The 21,962-nt window shown below is 43.6% G+C and overlaps 1 protein-coding gene and 1 pseudogene across 2 annotated transcripts in view; one reads left to right on the top strand and one right to left on the bottom strand.

The window, feature by feature from the left end:
- Positions 1–21,962, bottom strand: part of LOC100130331 (POTE ankyrin domain family, member F pseudogene) — a 66,147-nt pseudogene that overhangs the window by 24,536 nt on the left and 19,649 nt on the right. Inside the window, exon 4 of the transcript NR_027247.2 lies at positions 21,218–21,320. The product of NR_027247.2 is annotated as a POTE ankyrin domain family, member F pseudogene (transcript). The remainder of the gene's footprint in view (positions 1–21,217; positions 21,321–21,962) is intronic.
- ZP4 (zona pellucida glycoprotein 4) lies at positions 12,864–21,382 on the top strand. Its single transcript, NM_021186.5, has 12 exons — positions 12,864–13,325; positions 13,610–13,731; positions 13,817–13,919; positions 15,276–15,428; positions 16,225–16,412; positions 16,918–17,015; positions 17,900–18,030; positions 18,206–18,395; positions 18,471–18,621; positions 18,939–19,017; positions 20,940–21,044; positions 21,237–21,382. The coding sequence occupies exons 1-12, from the start codon at positions 13,151–13,153 to the stop codon at positions 21,362–21,364; spliced, it is 1,623 nt and encodes a 540-aa protein (NP_067009.1). The 5' UTR covers positions 12,864–13,150; the 3' UTR covers positions 21,365–21,382.

Genomic DNA, 21,962 nt, shown 5'->3' with positions numbered 1-21,962 from the left:
ACCCAATGGTATTATCAAATTCCCACATGACTTTAAATGCTTTCTCCTTCATTTCAAGCCTCTGCTAAATTATCTATGCCCCGGAGCATGAAAATGCAGTGCATAAATCATAAACAAGTCTTGTTCTTTTTTTCTATGCTATTGCAGAAATGTCAATTTGCCACATCATTTAGTTTCAGAGAAGAAGCTCCAGATGGGATGGGAGGAAGCATGAGCAATGGGCCTGATCACTTGGGGGGAAAAACTGGGGAATTTCTGGCCAAAGTGAATTTATACAGTTTCAAAGAAAGGTATTAACATGTATGTAAAGTGTGAGGTCAGAAGAACTGGCTCCCCTTCCTAGATTGTCTCAGTTTTTATTTCAATTATATTTACTTGTAATTCTCTCCCCATCATTGACCCCCTCAAGCTATGCAGAACACCACCATCACCTGTTGTTTTAATTTGTTTACTTATTTATTTTAACAACTTATTGATGGCTTCTCATGCTGAGACAAAACCCAGACTTATCTACCTTGGCAAGCATGAATCTACATTTTTTAACTGTACAAAAGAAAATCTATATGCACATACCGCCAGAGGAAGCAGCTGCAAAAACTATTTGCTTCTATGGAAAAGTCCTTAGGCTAGGATTTAGGAGAGCTGGGATCTTGGTCCAGGTCTGACAGGAGATCTAAATTATTCATGCCTTTATTCTCACTCCTTGTGCCTGCACAGGAGAGGTGCTAAGGCTACATCGTCCATCAGACTCATCTCTCAACACAAATCCCCTTCTCCACTGGGTGTGACCCTTTACTGTCGCCCACCTACATCCTGTCAATTCCTTATTCTGCATGTTTATTGATCATTTTTGCCCTTTGCCCTTTAATATTTAATAGTCATTAATTCATCAAATTGTGACTAGCCTCTTCCCATACCATCTATTTTATCACACTCAAGCATCATCAGCTGAAACTCAAATTCCACCTTTGGACACTTTCAACTCTAATGTCACTGGCCTCCCACTGCTCTCTGGTCCTAGTCCTTTCTATCTGTATCACATATTTTGTCACTTGATTATATAATGTCTCATATTGGTGTTTGAGATTTTTTTGTGGTTGCATTATTTCTGAACTGCCTCACTGTATTTGCCTTGACACCCATCTAAGTCTTGAACTCCTTCTTTAAATAGTCTAAAGTCCTAGTTTCTTGTCCCAATTCTCTCTCAAATACTCCCAACTAGTCTGAGCAAAGCCAGTTATTCTCCATTTTCTTAAATAAAAAAAGGACCTCCCTAAAATTGTTTGCAACTCTAATATTCTGTAAGTCAATGATTTTATGTATTGTTTATAAATTCAGATATGTATTTTTTGGTTTTCTTATTAATACTCCTTTCAATTCCCAGCAAAATTAGAGCATATAATAGATGCTTAATCCAGGAGGAAATGTGACAGAGGCCAGTGAGATTATTTCTCTGGCTACTCTTTGTGGAAGTGGCCAGAATTCCAAGGGTTAAAATCAGGTTTCTTTGGAAGTAACCCTCAACTACTAAAGCCTTTGCTATTATGCTAAGAGCATCAGAGGTCTCTTTTTTTTCTCCTCAAAGCATGGCAGAAGATGATACAAACACAGCTCAGTATTTATCGGGTGCCTAAAAAAATCCATCTCCAGAGCTTACAATTTTCAACCAACAAGGAGCAAATTCCCTTACCTCAAAACAGCAGGGTCTTCTGTCTCCTTGAATAAAGAGAAATGCATGGCAGTCACTTGTCAAGCAGACCCGATTTAAGAAGAAAGAAATGCAGTGATCAACAGTTTCAGTTTGCAATTTGCAAACAAAGAGTGAGATCTGATAATCCTAGAATGTTCCTCATTTTCTGCTTGAGGAAAAAATAAAGGAAATCTTTAAGAACTGTCTTGTTATTAAAACGAGATGATTGCTTCAGCCTTTCTAAAATGTTGTGTAATATTAATGTTTCACTAATGACATTTGTAATATACTCTGTGATAAATGCCTGCCAAAGTCCTGCTCTCGCCAATGTCGCCGTGTGGGATGATAATAGGCATGACCCCAGCCTCTTACACAGATTGGACTCATTTATTACCCAATGTCATCGCCAATTTGCATCTCTGATCCACAAGCCATTTTTTCCCCCACTGTTATCTAAATTTGTCCTTGCAGCCATTTTCATCAATTCTGGAGACTTGTGAGTAATAGCCTCACTGCAGGAAAGGGAGTTAGGTGCTCTCCCATGAGGCTATCAGATGAGGGCCACAGTCAGCTTCCAGGGCAGACTCCTAGTGAGAGGCCTTTTGAACTTGCAGCTCCCCTAGTGGTAGATATCAGACTACAAGATAGTGGTTGGCAGGCTTCTGCTGAACTTGGAGGCACCCTACTTTATATTTTGTCACCATCACAAGGAATTCAGATGGCTCTGCAAAACTAGAGCTTTGAAGTTTAAAAAAAAGAAAAAAGCAACCTTGAATAGATTCTCTTGCTCTGATTCTAACCTATCATTTATCTGTGAGACTAAGAGAGAAATAAAAAAGAGGAGAGTGATAAATGAATGGAAAAGGAGAATATGGGAGGAATTATTTGGAATACCCAGCATCCAGCCAGAAATGACAGCCCTCAAATCACATGCACTGATGAAACATGAGCTGCTGGCTGTTCTTAAGCAAAATACATAGGAACATTTTTAATTAGTTTATCCATGATTTCATTGTTTGATCAATTCATTGATTCATTAACAAGCATCACTGGCAGATATTAGGCTAGCCATAGGGAATACATGTGTGATTAATTATTGCTCAGAGACTATTTAAATGCCATGAGACTAATTCTCTCCTATTTACTGTTTTACCCGCAAGCCTAGCATAGTATGTGACAGAGAGCATCTGATGAAAGAGATAATTGAGACAGAGAGAAAAAGCAAAAGAGAGGGAGGGAGAACAAGAAAATTAGGGTAAGAGAGGGCTACTTTTTATCCCTAGAATGTTGGAAAATATTTGACCCAGAGTTGGGGCTAGGTGAACATTAATTGTTTATAGTGGAATTAACGTGATTTATTTCCAAAGCATTGACTACCCTCTATGACTTATTTGTGTTCAGACTGAATAAAAATATCCTAACACAAAAATTTCATTATTCTATTGATATTTGCTTACAGGGAGGTGAACACGGCAGCTACTTGTCTTCATTATATGTCTTTGTATGTGCACAAATATGCTTTGGCAAAATCATTTAACTAGTCTCACTTATAGGAAAGGGTGTTACGAAGGTTTAAGAAAGTCCGTTGAACCGAATGCGGAGAGGACTGCCAGCCCTTGGGGTGAAAAACAGGGCAGGGAGCAGAGGGGCTGAGGAGGGGCCTGTTTCTTCCTGGGGTGTTTTTGTGATGTTTTAAGCTGAATTCTCAGAATATTATCCACCCATTCCATAAATATTGATGGAGGCCTTGCTATGTTGGAGGCATTGATTTAGAAAGGACAGACTACACCCAACGAACCTGTGATCACAAGGGACCTAGACCAAGGAAGGAACAATTAAGATACTCTGAAAAGGACCAGGAGAGGGGAAGGCACCAAAATGATCAAGGCGAGAGAAGAGGCTGGGCACAGTTATTCACACCTATAATCCCAAGACTTTGGGAGGCCGAGGCATAAAGATCTCTTGAACCCAGTTCAAGTCTGCAGTGAGCCATGATTGTGCCATTGTTCTCCAGCCTGGACAACAGAGTGAGACCCTGTCTCAAAAAAAAAAAAAAAAAAAAAAAAAAAGGAGGTGGGGGAGAGAATTTCCAGAGCAGATGATGCTTTAGTTAGGTTTTTGTTTGTTTTTTTGAGACGGAGTGTTGCTGTGTCACCCAGGCTGGGAAGCAGTGGCACGATCTCAGCTCATTGCAGCCGCCGCCTCCCAGGTTCAAGCAATTCTTCTGCCTCAGCCTTCTGAATAGCTGGGACTACAGGCACACGCCACCGTGCCTGGCTAATTTTTGTATTTTTAGTGGAGACAGGGTTTCACCATATTGGCCAGACTGGTCTCGAACTCCTGACCTCATGATCTGCCCACCTCGGCCTCCCAAAGTGCTGAGATTACAGGTGTGAGCCACCACACCCGGCCCAGTTAGGTTCTTTAAAAAAATAAAGGGCCAGGTGTGGAGGCTCACGCCTGTAATCCCAGCACTTTGGGAGGCCGAGGTGGGCAGATCACGAGGTCAGGAGATTGAGACCATCCTGGCCAACATAGTGAAACCCCGTCTCTACTAAAAATACAGAGAATTAGTGGGGTGCAGTGGCATGTGTCTGTAGTCCCAGCTACTCAGAAGGCTGAGGCAGAAGAATCACTTGAACCCAGGAGGCAGAGGTTGCAGTGAGCTGAAACTGTGCCACTGCATTCTAGCCTGGCCACGGAGACTCTGTCTAAAAAATAAATAAACAAATAAAAATAAAATAAAATAGTGGCTCTTGCCTGTAATCTCAGCACTTTGGGAGGCCGAGGTGGGCAGATCACTTGAGGCCAGGAGTTCAAGACCAGCCTGGCCAACATGGTGAAACATATCTGTACTAAAAAGAAATTAGCCGGGAGTGGTGGTGCGTGCCTGTAATCCCAGCTACTCGGGAGGCTAGGCCACAAGAATTGCTTGAACGCAGGAGCCAGAGGTTGCAGTTAGCTGAGATTGCACCACTGCACTCCAGCCTGAGCAATAGAGCAAGATTCCATCTCAAATAATTTTTTTAAAAAAAGAAATAGCGTAAAAATAAAAAATAGAGTAAAAAATATAAAAATAATATAGAGTAAGCAGGCACACACACATAAACAAAGGGTAAGAGAGTATTTCAGAAAAGAAAATCCACAGACCACAGCAGGGGGAAGGAAGGGATCAGGGTGGGTTTAAGAAACTGCAGAGGCTTCTGCTTGACCAGCCACTGGGAGAAAAGAGGCCATGCTGGATAACCGGAGAGGACTGGGGTTGCCATGCTAAGCAGAGCAGACTGGATCTTACAGGAAGTCTCACTCATATGCTGAGGTAAGCTCAAAAACACAGATGGGTGGCAGAAAATGAATTAGGCCTTGCAAAACCAGCTCCCCTATAAAGCACAGATGCAGGCCACTTAAATAATCAAGAGTTCACTCATCTAACAAGTACTGTCTGAGCATAAGAGGTAAGCAATGTGGAGAAGACAAAGGTGAGTATGACTGACCTTCAAACTTCGTATAATCCAGGAAGGGAAAGAAGAATACTAAGTAGTCACTCCCTAAAAGGAGTACTGATAGAGAGCACAAGAAAACCAAATGAAGAAGGAATGACCTCCAGCTGGGGGATTAGGCAGTGTGCTTCATGAAGAGAACCTGGAAAGCTCTAGCCCCAGGCAGTGGTCTTCTTGCTTGAGTGGATCAGAATCACCTGGAAGGCTACTTAATGCTGCTCCCAAGGCTGGAGTTTCTGATTCAGGAAATGTGGAGTGAGACCCACAAATATGCATTTCTAACAAGTCCCCAGGCCATTCTGCTCCTGCTGATCTAAGAACAAAATTTCCAGAACCTCTGCTTCAAGGGAAAGTTAGGAATTGGGCAAATACAGATGAGGCTGTGGGCATTCCAGGAAGAGAGAACCATGTACTAAAGGCACGTGGGTAGAAAAGCAAAGCAATATCCTGGTTACGATCAAGTTAGGGTCACATAGAAGGAGCACACTGTACAGCTGATCCTTGAACGACATGGGCTGAACCTTGTGGGTCCATTTCTACACAGACGTTTTTCAACAGATACAGTTGGTCATCTGTATCCATGGGTTCCACATCTGCAAGCAAATGTGGATGGAAAATACAGTATTCATGGGATATGAAACCCACGGATGAGGGTTAACTTTACCTATATGCAGGTTCTGCAGGGCTGTCTGCCAGATTTGGGTGTGCACAGATTTTGAGATCCTCAGGGGTTCTGGAACCAATGCCTCACAGATACAAGGTATGACGATATAAGATATCATCAGACTCAAAACCTTCGTGAATTAATTACCCAGTCAACTCCAGTTAGCTGAGAGCAATTGTGCTAGAATAGTTATCAGGCATAAAGCAATGGCCAAAGTAAGAATAGCTGTCGTGTGACCTGCACCTTTCCTCCTCAATTTTCTGCTTTTGAACTACCCCACCTCACCAGGTCTGCCCACTCTCTAAACTGAAACAGCCATTAGTACCAACCAATTCAGCCATTGGGTGCATAACTGATCCCTTCCCTCTAAATGAAAAAGAATGACAAAATCCCTTTAGTTTAGTCAAGGCTAGATTGGGAATTTTCAAAAGGAATTTTAACAGGGAAAGGCACACTGTTTTCATTTCATCATTAAAAAAAAAGTCTACCCCAAACAAAGATTAACTTGGCTGGTGCAATTTCAAAACAGCTTACAAGGCATTATAGGTGGAATTATATCTCCCCCAACAAAAATATTATGAAGTCCTAACCCTCTAGTCCCTCAGAATGTAGGCTTATTTGGAAATAGAGTCTTTATGGAGGTAATCCAGTTAAAATGAGGTCATTCAGGTAGGCCTTAATCCAGTACTGCTGGTGTCCACATAAAAGAGGAAATTTGGACACAGAGAGAGAGATATATATACACAAAGGGAAGACTGTGAAGGCACAGGGAGTACACTGATGTGTACAGCACAGGGAGTACACTGGTGTGTACAGCCCAGGATCAGTGGGATGCACCTACAAGCCAAAAAATATCAAGGGTTTCTGGCAATCACCAGAAGATAAAGATACAAAGAAGTTCTTCCCTATAGGTTTCATGGCCCCACTGACAGCTTGGTCTCGAACTTCTGGCCTCTAGCACTTTGAGAGAACAAACTTCTGTTGTTCTGAGTCACCCAGTCAGCAGTACTTTGTTAGGGCAGCCCCAGTAAACTATTGCAGAAGGCAATTTCAAATTCTTTACATACACACAGGCACACACCCACACATACCACACACATCTTGGCATTTGTCATTTTAAATGGTATATCCACACGTTGCCTGCTGTCCTCTTAATTAGCCTTTGAAATCAGAGTAATAGCCCTCATTCTCAACCACAATTGCATGGAAAGATTTGTTTTGTAATTTTTTGGGTAATGCTAAAGAGGATATGTTTCCTAGGGGTTCTCTTGTTCTTTGGATGACAGTATAAAATTAGCTGTTACCACCCACATTCAAATGAAAAGCCAATCAGTGGTGCAGTGGCAACTGTCAATCTCGGGCCTGCCCAGCTGTCAGTCAATCTGGCCATAAACTTTGTTCCTTCTGCCCACTTTGTCTTGCTCTTGAGTGGAGGAGTAATTTCCCACAGGCTTGCACAAATAATTAATAAGTGGGCAGAAGCCACTATAAATACCTTGTCTACAGAAAGTCTAAGTAAGACACACTACCTGAAATCACTAGAGTCAGGGTTTTTTCCCTTCTGTTAGTATTTTAAAAGTTAGAATTAGAACCCATGACAATTACATACTTTGATAGATATGGGATGTTGGAGGAGACCCTACTGGTCTGTGGTGCTCAAAACTTACTGTCACCTGTAAAGACAACATGTCAACTGCATGGTCTAGAGAGGGGAGAACATGATCCAAACTTAAGCAGATGGCATAATTAAAGGTGGAGGAAGGGCATGAACTTCAACAGAGGCAGTCTGTCTGGGCCAGAAAATTTTCACTAACCTTATCTGTAATTCCCCACCCAAAAGTCCTTAATTTTATATTTTCTAATTTTTATTTTTTATTTGCATATATTCATGGGGTATAAGTGCAATTTTGCTACATTGATATATATCATTGTGTTGAAGTCAGGACTTCCAGTGCAAAAGTTTTAAATTTTAACTCTTTTTCTTTCTTTAGCAACTTAGTCTCCTACCTCTTTCTTAATCTCTTCTTTCACTTTCAGAAATAGGAATATCAACATATGGTTGACCCTTGAACAATATGGGTTTCAACCACATGAGTCCACTTATACATAGGTTGTCTTCCACCTCTGCCACCCCTGAGACAGCAAGACCAACCCCTCCTCTTCCTACTCAATGTGAAGATGACAAAGATGAAAACCTTTATGGTGATCCACTTCCACTTAATGAATAGGAAACATTTTCTCTTCCTTATGATTTCTTAATAACATTTTTTTATCTAGCTTACTCTATTATAAGAGTACAGTATATAATATAATACATATACAGAATATGTGTTCATCAACTGTTTATGTTATTGGTAAGGCTTCTGATCAACAATAGGCTATTAGTGAAACTACTTTTGCAAAATTATGAAGTAAGAGAAGTCTGACATAATTAACTCTATCTTGCATCTAACCTCCAAGCTGTTGTTGGTCATTCCTGAGAGTAAGCCAAGCTAACTTTGGGAGAGATTTAGTTTATAATGTAACCTTAAAGCAGGGTTCATAATAGCCTTTCCCAAAACTAAACCACCTTTGTAAGACTAATGAAAGTCTACAAGGTTAGGATGAGAGGTGCTGGAATTCTGCTAAGATCTAGGTGTACTTACAGATAACCAGGCATTGTTTTGTGGGTCAGGAGACGTGTAACTTTTCCCAATTACTCCCATAGATAACATCACTATTGTAGAACCTAAGATTGATATGTTGGGGTATTTTTCAGGCTTTTGCATTCTGGCAACTGACTGACCCCCACCCAAAGGCAGACCTGTGACTCATGACCCAACTGGTCCCGTGGCCCCGTGATCCAGAAGTGAACACAGTGCACAAGGACCATTTTCCATACCCTTAAGAGTGCATTCCAATGAATCAACAGCAGCTGTTCCTTAGTCCCCTGCCCACCAAACTATGCTTGAAGACCCCCTAACCTCCAAGCCTTCAGAGACTGATTTGAGTCATAACTGTCTCCCATGTGGCTGGCCTCACATCAATGATATTCTTTCCTCATCAGAATGTCAGGGTCTCAGTGAATTGATCTTGCCTGTGCAGCAAGTAAGACAAACCCATCAGGCAATTACATTAGTTACATTTGAGGGGGACCAAAAAACTCTACATGGATTTTTGGCTGCATGCGGGGTTGGCACCCCTAGCCCCCACATTGTTCAAGGGTCAACCATACTGACATCCCTCTCAAAGTCCGACTACCCATTCAGTAGGGTATCCTCCTGCCTGTGAAAGGGAATGATAATTTTCCACCCATCATGGCAAAGGAAGGTGTGGAGCAGGGAGGGGAGAGACATCAGAACAGAGCAGGTGCTGTGCAGTCAGCACAGGAGACACTTCAGAGACAGGTCTTGTACCTTGGACACAAAAGAGGCGTTGAAACAAGAGACCCAGTAATGGAAGCCATCGCAACTGACTCTGAATTACACTTCATTCTTGCTTGTTGAAAAGGAAAACCATGTAAGTACTTACAGTAAATTAAGTTTGACATCTTCCTTCAGAAGAGAAGTGTCCTAATTTCCACCACATGCAGAGAGCAGCTGGATGCACCATCCTTGCTCCCTAATTACTGATTAACACAACAATGGTCTAATCATCCCTCCATATTTGAGGGATAATTTTGATTATTGCTTCTCCACACTTGAAGTGGGCTTCCTGGGGCCTTGTTTGAGTGGTACTTCACTCTCCAGTTAGGAGGACCCTGCTCCAGTCACAGCGGGGCAATCACTGTTAATGTCAGATGAGGAGTCTGTACTCAATGGCCAGAAAGCATTGTACTACAGCTCCATGCTATCCAAACCTTGTGGGGTGATGTCCCTATTCTGCAGTTTAAAATGAAACACTCAAATGTAAATATGACCAGATTGAAGAAGGTTTTTGGAAATCACCGTTTGCCTTTCCCCAATCACACAGGTTGCCCTCATGACCTGAGTGGCCAGATCACTGAATGAGGAATGGGCAGCTTCAGTGAATGAGGAATGGGCAGCTTAGCTTCAGTGCAGGACTCCCAAGTACTTTGGTAAGGAACACAAGGGGAATCCTTAAGCCCGCCTATAAAATGTGGGTTGCATGAATACTACCATGACTATGGGGCTTTTGATAAGTCTGTACACATTAGGATGCCTCATAATCTGTTCGTAATGGCTCTGAAACAATTTTTAAATGACTGGGTGATTCTGACATAAGACAAAGAACAGCATTTGCCCTTTCACATTCAAAGGACAGAGCATTCATGTTGTGATAATAGTGGATAGGATGTTTTTTCTGTTAAGCCTGGGGCTCCTCGAGGTGGATCACACATTATCAGTGCATTTTCTCATCCCGAAATTAAATGATGATGTTCTTGGAAGATTCAGCAGAGGAATGAGCATAACATTACCTAACCCCAGACCTGCCTGCATTATCTTGGCATCCATCTTTGACCCTCTGCAGCATCAGAGAGATGGGTGTGATCCTAGGTGGACTTCAAGATAGCTCCACATAGTTCCAGGCTTGTGTGATTTTTCAACTTCATTATGTAAACACAGGACCTCATTTGGGAATGCAGCCTCATGAGTATAGGCTGTTCCTCAGACTCCCTGCAGATCCAATGAGTGCACTGCTTGGCATTTGCTTTCCATTTGCCACCCATCTCACCTTTATCTCCCAGGCTGGTCCTGTTGATGTTAGTGACAATGTAGCAATTATGCAACAAGCATTGTACATACATTATTTCATCTAACCGTCTGTTGTAATAATACTGTCCATGTTATTATCCCTATTTTACAGATATAAAAACTGTAACTGAGAGAAAGAGGTTAATACATTGACAGAGGTTGCAGAGTAACAGTCAGAATTTGTACCCAAGTCCACCCATTGTCAAAACTCACATGATATACTATACTATATTGCCTCCAAGTATGAGCAAAGGAAGTTACGCTCCTTGACTTTTCACCACTTTATAAAGCTGTTGGGAACAGGCCCCCCAAAATCTGGCCATAAGCTGGCCCCAAAACTGGCCATAAACAAAATCTCTGCAGCACTGTGACATGTTCGTGATGGTCGTGATGGCCATGATGCCCACGCTGCAAGGTTATGGGTCTACCGGAATAAGGGCAAGGAACCCCAGACCCACCCAGGATGGAAAACCGCTTAAAAGTGTTCTTAAACCACAAATAGCATGAGTGATCTGTGCCTTAAGGACATGCTCCTGCTGCAGATAACTAGCCAGAGCTCATCCCTTTATTTCAGCCCATCCCTTTGTTTCCCATAAGGAAGACTTTTAGTTAATCTATAATCTATAGAAACAATGCTTATCACTGGCTTGCTGTCAGTAAATATGTGGGTAAATCTCTGTTCGAGGCTCTCAGCTCTGAAGGCTGTGAGACCCCTGATTTCCCACTCTACACCTCTATATTTGTGTGTGTGTGTGTGTCTTTATTCCTCTAGCATCCCTGGGTTAGGGTCTCCCCGACTGAGCTGGTCTCAGCATAAAGCAATATTAGTAAGTCTAGTCAGGAGACTGGCCTTTTAACTCCTGAGACATCTTGCATGAGTCAAATCCTCAGATTCTTTCTTACATGTGCAATCACATGATATTTACTTGAAGGAAAAATACCTAAGGGTTATGAGTTTGAGCTCATCATAAAGGAAATGAATTTGTACCGGTGAGGTTTGGAAACTACATTTTCAAGGGGGTTAGCCCTAGGACATGGCCACTAATGAAAGCATATTCATTGATTCAGTCTTTACTCAGAGAACACTGAGTACATACATCCAAGGCACGCAGGATGCAGTGACAAATAAAAAAGTCCCTGGCCTCACGTGCTTCTAGTGGCAAACTGAATAAGAAAGAGGTCATTACAATCCAACCTGGCAAATCCTGTGAGTAAATGGCATGTAATAACCCAGTGGTGAGCACCTAATCCAGGTAGACGGTGTCAGGGAAGCCACATCTGTCTTTGAGGGCAGAGTCCAGCTTTCCTTCAATGTCATTTTTCATCATGTGGTTAAAAGGGCCACCAATTTTCCCAGGAAGACACATACTTATTTGTCCTCTGTGATGAGTTGAAGAGAACTAGAGATACCTAGTTACACATTCTCAGTGCTTTGACTACAATTTTTAGTCAACCGAAAAATATCAGTCTAAATACAATCAGGGTACAATTTGGGAATATTGGTGGCAGACTGCAGAAGACAAGTTTCCATGCTCTTGCCTCTCCAGTGGGGAATGTATCCATTTATCCCCAAATCTCTTAGAATTTCTCTACAATCTGGTCTGACACTCTAGCTTAAAGAGTGACCAAAGTATATAACTTGTAGTTTATGTGGAAAACAAAAATGTAGAAAGCAAGCAAGAAACCCTGACATCTTTATGAAATATGCCTGAAACACAGCCGAAAGATAAAATTGTCAAATAGCTGTAAGAGGCAGAACCAGTTTGAGGAATTCATGGCCTAATCCACATTTCCCCCAGATCCTGTGGGGAAACACTGTAGGACAGTTATGGCAATGAACCACTTTGGAATTTGTTGAAAGATTGCTGTGGTAGGATTCCCTCTAAGGACCAGGAAAGGGTTCAAAATCAACCTTTCTCAGGAAATAAGTTTAGATTTTTTTCTAGAATTTCAAGACAGGCTCTAATCGTACAGAAACTTTTCTAGAATGGATGGAGAAGGTGACAAGGCTTCTCAAGGGCCCCAACTCTCACCCGACAATGTTGACTGAGCACTCACTGCTTGGCCAAGCACTGTGCCAGGCACCTGACATAGAATCTCTTGCTTAATCCTCAAGCACACCACTGCCAGGAGATAGCATTCCCATTTTACAGATGAGAAAACCAAGATTCAGAGAGTTTGTAACGTACCCAGACCCCATAGTTCATAGATGGTAGTTTCACACCCAAATGTGCAAAATTCTAGAGGGAGGTCTTCTGAAGTCAATAAGTTCAATAAACTGGTGGGACAAATGCTATGTTGAGCAACCCTGAGGAAGCTTTCTTTCCTTCCTTTCTGTTAGCTAAAAGTTACTACATTTTTCTTGGGCTCTGAAGTCTGCCTGGATTGTGGTATTTAATGTGAGGCAGCTGCAGACTGTGCCCCAAAGCAAATGAGGCTAGAGGAATTCCCCTTTCTGAAGGCATCCCACCTGAGTGTCACAAAGATGTGCAGCTGAAAACAAGCCTGACTTCTGTATATAAAGGAATCTGGGCAGGCAGACCCTCGGCTCTTGGGAGAGGAGGCGGAGAGTCTGCAGCCGGCAGGAACTCCTGGTAGCATTATGTGGCTGCTGCGGTGCGTTTTGCTGTGTGTTTCATTATCTCTTGCTGTGAGTGGCCAGCATAAGCCTGAGGCACCAGATTATTCCAGTGTGCTCCACTGTGGGCCGTGGAGCTTCCAGTTTGCTGTAAACCTCAACCAGGAGGCAACGTCTCCTCCTGTACTAATAGCTTGGGGTAAGTTTGATGACTTGCCTTGCTTAGCCAAGCAATGATATGTCTCCTCTACTACCTAAGATGTCTCCCTATCTTCCCGTATTGATACTTTCACCTTCTGAGCCCTGTTGCATCTTTCTGCAAAAGAAATAGTCTAAGTTATAACTACATCTGATCTGAATCTGATTTCCCTCTTGTTCCTCTTATTGACAGTTGCTCCTTGGGGTCTAATGGCAAGGCTGACTATCCTTTCTGGCACTGGAGACTGACCGCTGTGTTTTCTCACCTCTTCCCCACCCCTCCAGACAACCAAGGGCTGCTGCACGAGCTGCAGAATGACTCCGACTGTGGCACCTGGATAAGAAAAGGTCCAGGCAGCTCCGTGGTGTTGGAGGCAACCTATAGCAGCTGCTATGTCACTGAGTGGGTGAGTATGACCCAATGGCCAGGGAGACTGTGTGAAGCGCCTCATGCTACCATCCAGGCTGACCCCCAAGGGCCTGTCTCTCCAGGACTCCCACTACATCATGCCAGTTGGAGTTGAAGGAGCAGGCGCGGCTGAACACAAGGTGGTTACAGAGAGGAAGCTGCTCAAGTGTCCTATGGATCTTCTAGGTAAAGGCTGGAAGCTCTCAGGGTCTTGTGGGGGTGGTGGGGGTGGGGTGTGAAAGTACTCTTGGTCCTCTCTGACCTGCTCTGTGCAGTGACACCTGACACTAATGAAGGAAGGATCATGTCCCAACTCTCACCTCCATGGGCAATCCTTAGGATAACTACCAATTGAGACTCCTCAATGCCAAGGCACTGTGGGTAAGCACTTCAGGTGTTACCTTCCCTAACCCTAACATAGTGCTGCAAATACTACTGCTGGCCAGGCACAGTGGCTCACACCTGTAATCACAGCACTTTGGGAGGCTGAGGCAGGTGGATCAGGTCGGGAGTTGGAGTCCAGCCTGACCAACATGGAGAAACCCCATCTCTACTAAAAACACACAATCAGCCGGGTGTGGTGGTACATGCCTGTAATCCCAGCTACTCGGGAGGCTGAGGCAGGAGAATCGCTTGAACCTGGGAGGCTGAGGTTGTGGTGAGCTGAGATCGTGCCCTTGCACTACAGCCTGGGCAACAAGAGCGAAACCCTGTCTCAAAAAAAAAAAAAAAAAAAATACAACCTATCTCTTGCCAGGAAGTTTTCCCAAGGGCCTATCACTGGTGAATGACTGAGCTGGGATTCAAAGAACTCTCCCAGAACCAGGAGCTTTTCACCCATGGGGAGAATGATAGGAAATAAAACTGAAGCTAGCAAGGGAACTTGGAAAAATACCTCCACAGAGCTAGATGTGCACTGAGACTAGGACCCAGGTCTTCCATCCCACAAGCTGGAGGGGTATCTGAGCATTTCCCTAAGGAAACAGCAGGAAGTATGATGCCTACTCAACTTTAGAAAGTCTCGCCTGACTGAGAGCCCGTCCTCAAAGTCAGAACAGACTCAAACTATAAATTCACTCTTCTCACCTGCCTTCCTTCCCAATACATAGCCAGGATGGGCAGCACTAATAAAATGAGGAATCATAGGCCCCACCCCAGTTCTGAACCAGACCTGAACTCAAAAACAATCTTCAGATAACTCATATCCAAACTAAGGCTTGAGAAACGCCTCTAAAGAACAGAAGGAAGGATTGTTACTGGAAGGAGTAAGAAACCCCCCAACTGCTTCTACCAATTTTGTTGACATTCTTGTTTTTAAAAAACTAATAGCAGGGCACTCTTACAAGGTGACTTAATGTTGACAACCTCCCAAGACTTAATCTACAACATGTAACCTCTCAATACTATCTACAATATGGAGTAGACACCTATTTCAATCATCTACATATCTACAGGAATCCAAAGTCAATGACTTGTATCAAAATGGTATTCAAGACTAACTTTTCCATTATCTAACCTGACTTACTCTTTTTCAAAACCTAGCCCGAGATGCTCCAGATACTGACTGGTGTGACTCCATCCCAGCACGGGACAGACTGCCATGTGCACCTTCACCCATCTCTCGAGGAGACTGTGAAGGGCTAGGCTGTTGTTATAGCTCTGAAGAGGTGAATTCCTGCTACTATGGAAACACTGGTGAGTAAGTGAGCACACCTCTGAAACCAGCTGAGGAAGTGTGGCAATTACAATGAAACCCAGAGAGGGGTTTGCTCAGAAGGCAAACATCAAGTGATAGCAGGCTGCCATGTAGCCATGCATCCAAGAACACTTGATCCCAATGTAACAGACTTCTACAACTCCCACTGTCCATTCTCCCAGAATCCAGATATAAAGTCAATAACGCTCAGACTTGAAGGCTATGTGCCAGATAATTGCTAGTGCCAGATAACTTCTAACTGACAGAAACTTATAGCGACTTTGGCTGATGGTCTTGGATTGTTTAGGGAGAGTCACTTCAAGGCTGTTGCTTTCTGCTTGTCTCTAATCCTGCTCTGAGGTTTTCTAACATAAACTTGACCTCAGAGTATGTATAGGTTGGTACAGGAGGAATCCCGGCTTTTGCCATTGTGGCAAAGGCTGCAATTACTTCTCTACCAACCTAATAATCGCACACGCTATTCCAAGATCTTAATCTTAACTGACAAGCAAAATGAGGTAGGAACTACTATCCCCCTCTTAACACATGAAACTGAAGCAAGGAGGTGCAATACTTGCCTGAGGTCACACAATAAGTCAGGGAGGCAAGACTCAACCCCAGATCATTTAGAGCCTGGGTTAAACTGTGGTTGGTTGATCTTGCACTGAGGTTGTCACTGGGAAGTTGTCACCAGCTTCTCAGTGGGATTAAAAGTAACTAAGTGGTTAGACTTTCATCTGGTTCTCCCCACAATGGGAGAGATGACCTGCCTTCAGCACAGCTGCTCTGTTTCAGTGACCTTGCATTGTACCCGAGAGGGCCATTTCTCTATTGCTGTGTCTCGGAACGTGACCTCGCCACCACTGCTCTTGGATTCTGTGCGCTTGGCCCTTAGGAATGACAGTGCGTGTAACCCTGTGATGGCAACACAAGCTTTTGTTCTGTTCCAGTTTCCATTTACTTCCTGTGGCACCACAAGACAGGTGAGCAGTTGGGCTTTGTTCCTGGCTCTGGAAGTTGGGTGGGAAGGTTGTAGTGACTAGTGGGGGAGAGCTGAAATATGTTGGCCGTGAACGATACTTGTGACTACTACTTGGAGTTTGGGAGAGTCCCTAGGGCAGGAGAATGCCTCATCACTGAAAAAGTTAATCTCTTCTGGGTGTTCAGCTAAGACCATCACAGCTGTGATCTAGCTAAGGGGCTGTCATTTACCGTGCTATAGAGAAGAAACCAGCAGGGATGCTGACTGGAATTGGTAGTGCTTCAGCTGCCTCTCCTAGGTGCTCAAATTCCTTCTTATTCCTTTGTCCTGAGATAAGGCGAAGTGATAACTTGCCAGGATGTCACTGCTATGTGTTCTTACCTCTGCTGAAGTAATAGGAAATATACCATACAACAGGGTAGCATTGCTGAGGGCTTAGACCAGATGCAAGTCAAGCAGCATAACACTAACAGAAATGATCAAGACTTCTCCATCTATTCCTGTAGATCACTGGAGACCGAGCAGTATATGAAAATGAACTGGTGGCAACTAGGGATGTGAAAAATGGGAGCCGTGGCTCTGTCACTCGTGACAGCATCTTCAGGTAAGGGCTTGGCCAGAATGACTTCCCATCTGCCATAAGGTGGGCATTCTCAGGTAAGCCCTGAATCCACAAATGAGCATTCCTCAGCAATAGGAGAAAACCTGTCTGCTACCTTGGTTCACCAATTGCACTGCCCATTACTTGATTAGGTCCATCTGTGTTGCTGTCTCCAACCCGACCTAAGCCTCAAGCTCACCTGGAGTTCTGCTATTTCACTTAACTAGATTTTTTTCTCATTTTGGCCTTCTCCATTCTACATTTCAGCCTACATTTCTCCATTCTACATCTGGCCTTCTCCACTGTCCATGCTGTAGCCAAAAGAATTCCTTTAAAACCTTAAGTCAGTCAAATCACACACCTTAAAGCCATGGACAAAAAAAAAAAATCTTTAAGATGAACATCAGGACCCTGCATAAAACAGCTCCTACTTCATCTCCAGCCTGTTCACTTCTAACATTCTCAGTCCCTTACTCACTATTCCCCGATTGCAGCCTGGTTCTTCTATGGAATTCTCAAAGGGCCTCAAGCACTTCCTTGCCTCCAGGCTTTGCTCTATATTGGGTGACGCTTTCCCTGTACCTCAAGTTTTTCTTTCACCTTCATATCAAGGGTACCTCTAAGGTCTTCCCTGATCTTCTCTATGGCAAGCATCTGTTTCTCATGATGCATCTTTATTTCTGTGTGCTTATCTCCAACTCAAACATTGGTCCTACTTGTATATTGGTCTCCCCAACTAAAATACAGCTCCCAGCAGGGCAGGAACCACATCCATCACACTTATAAACTTGTCTAGCACTTAATGCTTTCCTTGAGTTAAAAAGAAAGGATGTGTAACTGACACCCACTTCCCACAACCAACTAGCTAAAATCTTGTTTCTCTGCAGGCTCCATGTCAGCTGCAGCTACTCAGTAAGTAGCAACTCTCTCCCAATCAATGTCCAGGTTTTCACTCTCCCACCACCCTTTCCTGAGACCCAGCCTGGACCCCTCACTCTGGAACTTCAGATTGCCAAAGGTATGACCCCCTTGGCTGGAGTATCTGGCCTATAGTCTAAATCCAGTCTTCTGGGGCATGAAGACCCTAAGTTAGTAACAAGACACTTAAGGGGCTTGGGGCTATTTAAAGGGGTGACAGTCCCTCAAGTCACTGAGAGATTACTACTTCAAATCCTTATTTCTGCCTCTTGCAGATAAAAACTATGGCTCTTACTACGGTGTTGGTGACTACCCAGTGGTGAAGTTGCTTCGGGATCCCATTTACGTGGAGGTCTCCATCCTTCACAGAACAGACCCCTACCTGGGGCTGCTCCTACAACAGTGTTGGGCAACACCCAGCACTGACCCCCTGAGTCAGCCACAGTGGCCCATCCTGGTAAAGGGGTAAGTGGTTCTTTCATACACCTGTGCTGAAATTCTCAAAGAAGCCCATCCTGACTGCTGGGTCTCTTGGTCTAGCTGCCCCTACATTGGAGACAACTATCAGACCCAGCTGATCCCTGTCCAGAAAGCCTTGGATCTTCCATTTCCCTCTCACCACCAGCGCTTCAGCATCTTCACCTTCAGCTTTGTGAACCCTACAGTGGAGAAACAGGCCCTCAGGGGACCGGTAGGATGTTCCCTTCCATGACACTCACCAGGGCTCTGAACCTCCCCAACTTACAACTGTTTCCATGTCCTACTACTCTGCAGCCAAGGAAGCCCTTTAATGCTGGCTATTGGTACTGACTCAGAGCAACCCTTGTTACTAATTACATGAGTGACATCTGTCAACTGGACTCCAGTTCCTTAGTGCCATTGTGATATCAACTTGGACCATATCAATTTTCTGATAACTTCCTGAACCTCTTCCTGGGGAGGCAAAGCAGGTTTAGAGATACATGGCATGGTGATACTACAAATGACCTGAATTCTGTTGGCTCCCAGGTGCATCTGCACTGCAGCGTGTCAGTCTGCCAGCCTGCTGAGACACCATCCTGTGTGGTGACCTGTCCTGATCTCAGTCGTGAGTAACCAAGCTGTTAGAGGACAGATTTGAATGAATCTTGAGTCCCATGTCTAACCTTTCCTAGTCTCTGGCCAAACAACTCAAACTGAAGATTCATCTTACTAAGGCTTCTCTAAGTACTTGCGGTGCCATAGAACAAAGATGACTAGCTTCCCAGAATCCCATGTCTCCTAAAACAAGCTATAAATGTTCGGGTAACCCTCAACCTTAGCTTTTTCCATATAAACTTTAATTCATCCACCAACCAAGGCAGTTTATGGCCTATCTTATGTCTCATTTTAACAAGATACACCTGAATAGTTGAGAAACATGTCTGTACCTGCTTGACAGGTCTGGCAATGCAGCCTAAAGATCTATAAGTAGAATGACTGGACCTAGAATGTGGTCTCTAGTTCGTTGGGTCCAATGCTTCTAAGTAGTCAATGTGTCTGTATGTCTACATGGGTTCTACCTGTACTTGCCTAGCCTCTGAGTTTGGATTCATGACCTCTAAAGCTTTAAGTGCCTTCTAGCAAAACTCATAGTAACTAAATGGTGCTTTATTATGCAAAGTACAACATTAAGTAACATCTCCAAAAATGCATATTATCACTACTTCTAAAGAATGAACCATCTTAGATTGAGGTCCTACAACTGGCAAATAGAAGTAGAATTAAAACAGTTCTACACTGTTTGTGTGTGTTTGTGTGTGTTTGTGTGTGTTTGTGTGTGTTTGTGTGTGTTTGTGTGTGTTTGTGTGTGTGTGTGTTTGTGTGTGTGTGTGTGTGTGTGTGTGTGTGTGTTTGTGTGTGTGTGTGTTTGTGTGTGTGACCAGTTCTTGCTCTGTCATGCAGGTTGGAGTACAATGGCATGATTACAGTTCATGGTAGCCTCGACCTCCTGAGCTCAGGTGATACGCCCAGTTCAGCCTCCCAACTAAAACTACAGGCGTATTCTACTATGCCCAGCCTTTCTCCCTCTCTTCCTCTCTCTTCCTCTCTCTTCCTCTCTCTTCCTCTCTCTCCCTCTCTCTCCCTCTCTCTCCCTCTCTCTCCCTCCCCCGCCCTCCCCCGCCCTCCCCCGCCCTCCCCCGCCCTCCCCCGCCCTCCCCCGCCCTCCCCCGGCCCTCCCCCGCCCTCCCCCGCCCTCCCCCTCCCCCTCTCTCCCACCTCAGCCTCCTGAGTAGCTGGGATTACAGGCATGTGCCACAAAGTCCAGCTCATTTTGTATTTTTGGTAGAGACAGGGATTCACCACGTTGGCCAGGCTGGTCTTGAACTCCTGACCTTAGGTGATCCACCTGCCTTGGCCCCCCAAAGTGTTGGGATTACAGGCATGAGCCACCACGCCCGGCCTTTGTCTTATTTTTTTATAGAGATGGATCTTTATGTTGCCTGGGCTGGTCTCAAACTCCAGAAAGCTTTTTTTCCTCACTGTCCACCTGCAGGTGTGTCCTTTGTTTCCCACTCTTCCATTTGCCATCTTGCCATCTTTCTTAATAAAACATAGGATACAGAAAACGTAAAACTGTATATTTCAAGTGAATGAAATTTGTTTTACTTCACTTGAAAACCAGATCTAAACTCATTAAATTGTTTTCTCTGCATCTCAGCCTCCAAGTTCTGTTCTAATAGTTACCTTTGAATTTCAGGGAAAGATCTCTGAATTATAAACATGATACTGTCAAAGTACTATTTAGAAAAGGATGGCAGTTCAGGGATAGTTTCTAACATCTTTATACGAAAGTCCTGGTGAAACTAAGGTAATGGCATCAGATATAAAATCTCACTTGTTCAAGTACATATTAATATACTTAATGAGGTTTTTGTAAGGCATAGAACCAAGCTTTATAGAGACACTTGGCCTTGCACCATAACATTTTCTATCCCTGCCCTATGTGTGCAAAAACTAATGAATTACTAGGTCTCATTTCTCTAACAGGAAGAAGAAATTTTGACAACAGTTCTCAGAACACTACTGCTAGTGTTTCTAGCAAAGGCCCCATGATTCTACTCCAAGCCACTAAGGACCCTCCAGAAAAGCTCCGTAAGTATCCAAGAGGGAGGAGATCAAACTAGTGAACTAAATTACTAATCAAAGCAACTTCCTCCTTTCTATCCCTCTTGTTCTAGTCAAAAGAAATTGACCTTCCTATAGCAGAAGACTGCTAGTCTTTGTCAGGACACAGAATCACTTGGTTTTAGCATACATTAACCTACCTTTCCATCCATCCTCCAGGTGTTCCTGTAGACTCGAAAGTTCTGTGGGTGGCAGGCCTTTCTGGGACCTTAATCCTTGGAGCCTTGTTAGTATCCTACTTGGCTGTCAAGAAACAGAAGAGTTGCCCAGACCAAATGTGTCAATAAAACCAGAGTGTATTCCCAGCCTGTGCTGAGCTTCTCATTTGAAAGGTAAAAGGTTAATTTCAGACTAGTTCATCTGTTCACATCACTTTATCTCTTAAGCTTGGTAGTATAACTCAACTGAGAATAGAATAGAAACTGATACAAAAATTTCAGACTTAGTAGAGGTCTTAGGTCAGAGAACGTGGAATAAAATTTTTCCATAAGATCAAGGAAACTAGGGTAGAACTAATTATGAATCTAGATCACTGGTTCTCAAACTTGAGTGTGCCTCAGGATCATGGGAGGGCTGGTAGAAACAGATGACTGTTCCCATTCTCGGTTTGAATTCAGTAGGCCTGGTCCCATTCTCAGAGTTTGATTCAGTAGGTGTGGACAAAGGTTTAAACTCACATTTCCAGCCATTTCCTAGATGATGCTGATCTTCCCTGGTCTGAGCACCAGACTTAAACCAATGTCTAGAACAGTGACTAAAGGTATCTGATCATAGATCCTCCAACTGGAGGTGGCTTGATCATCAGAGACTTAGTTTTGAGCCAGAACTGACAAGTAGTTTCCTAGTCTTAAGAACTAAGACTTTTTTTTTTTTAAAGGGGGTGGG

This window comes from Homo sapiens, chromosome 1 (genome assembly GCF_000001405.40).
Source record: "Homo sapiens chromosome 1, GRCh38.p14 Primary Assembly".
NCBI classification, from domain to species: Eukaryota; Metazoa; Chordata; class Mammalia; order Primates; family Hominidae; genus Homo; species Homo sapiens.
This window is presented reverse-complemented; position numbering and strand designations above follow the sequence as displayed.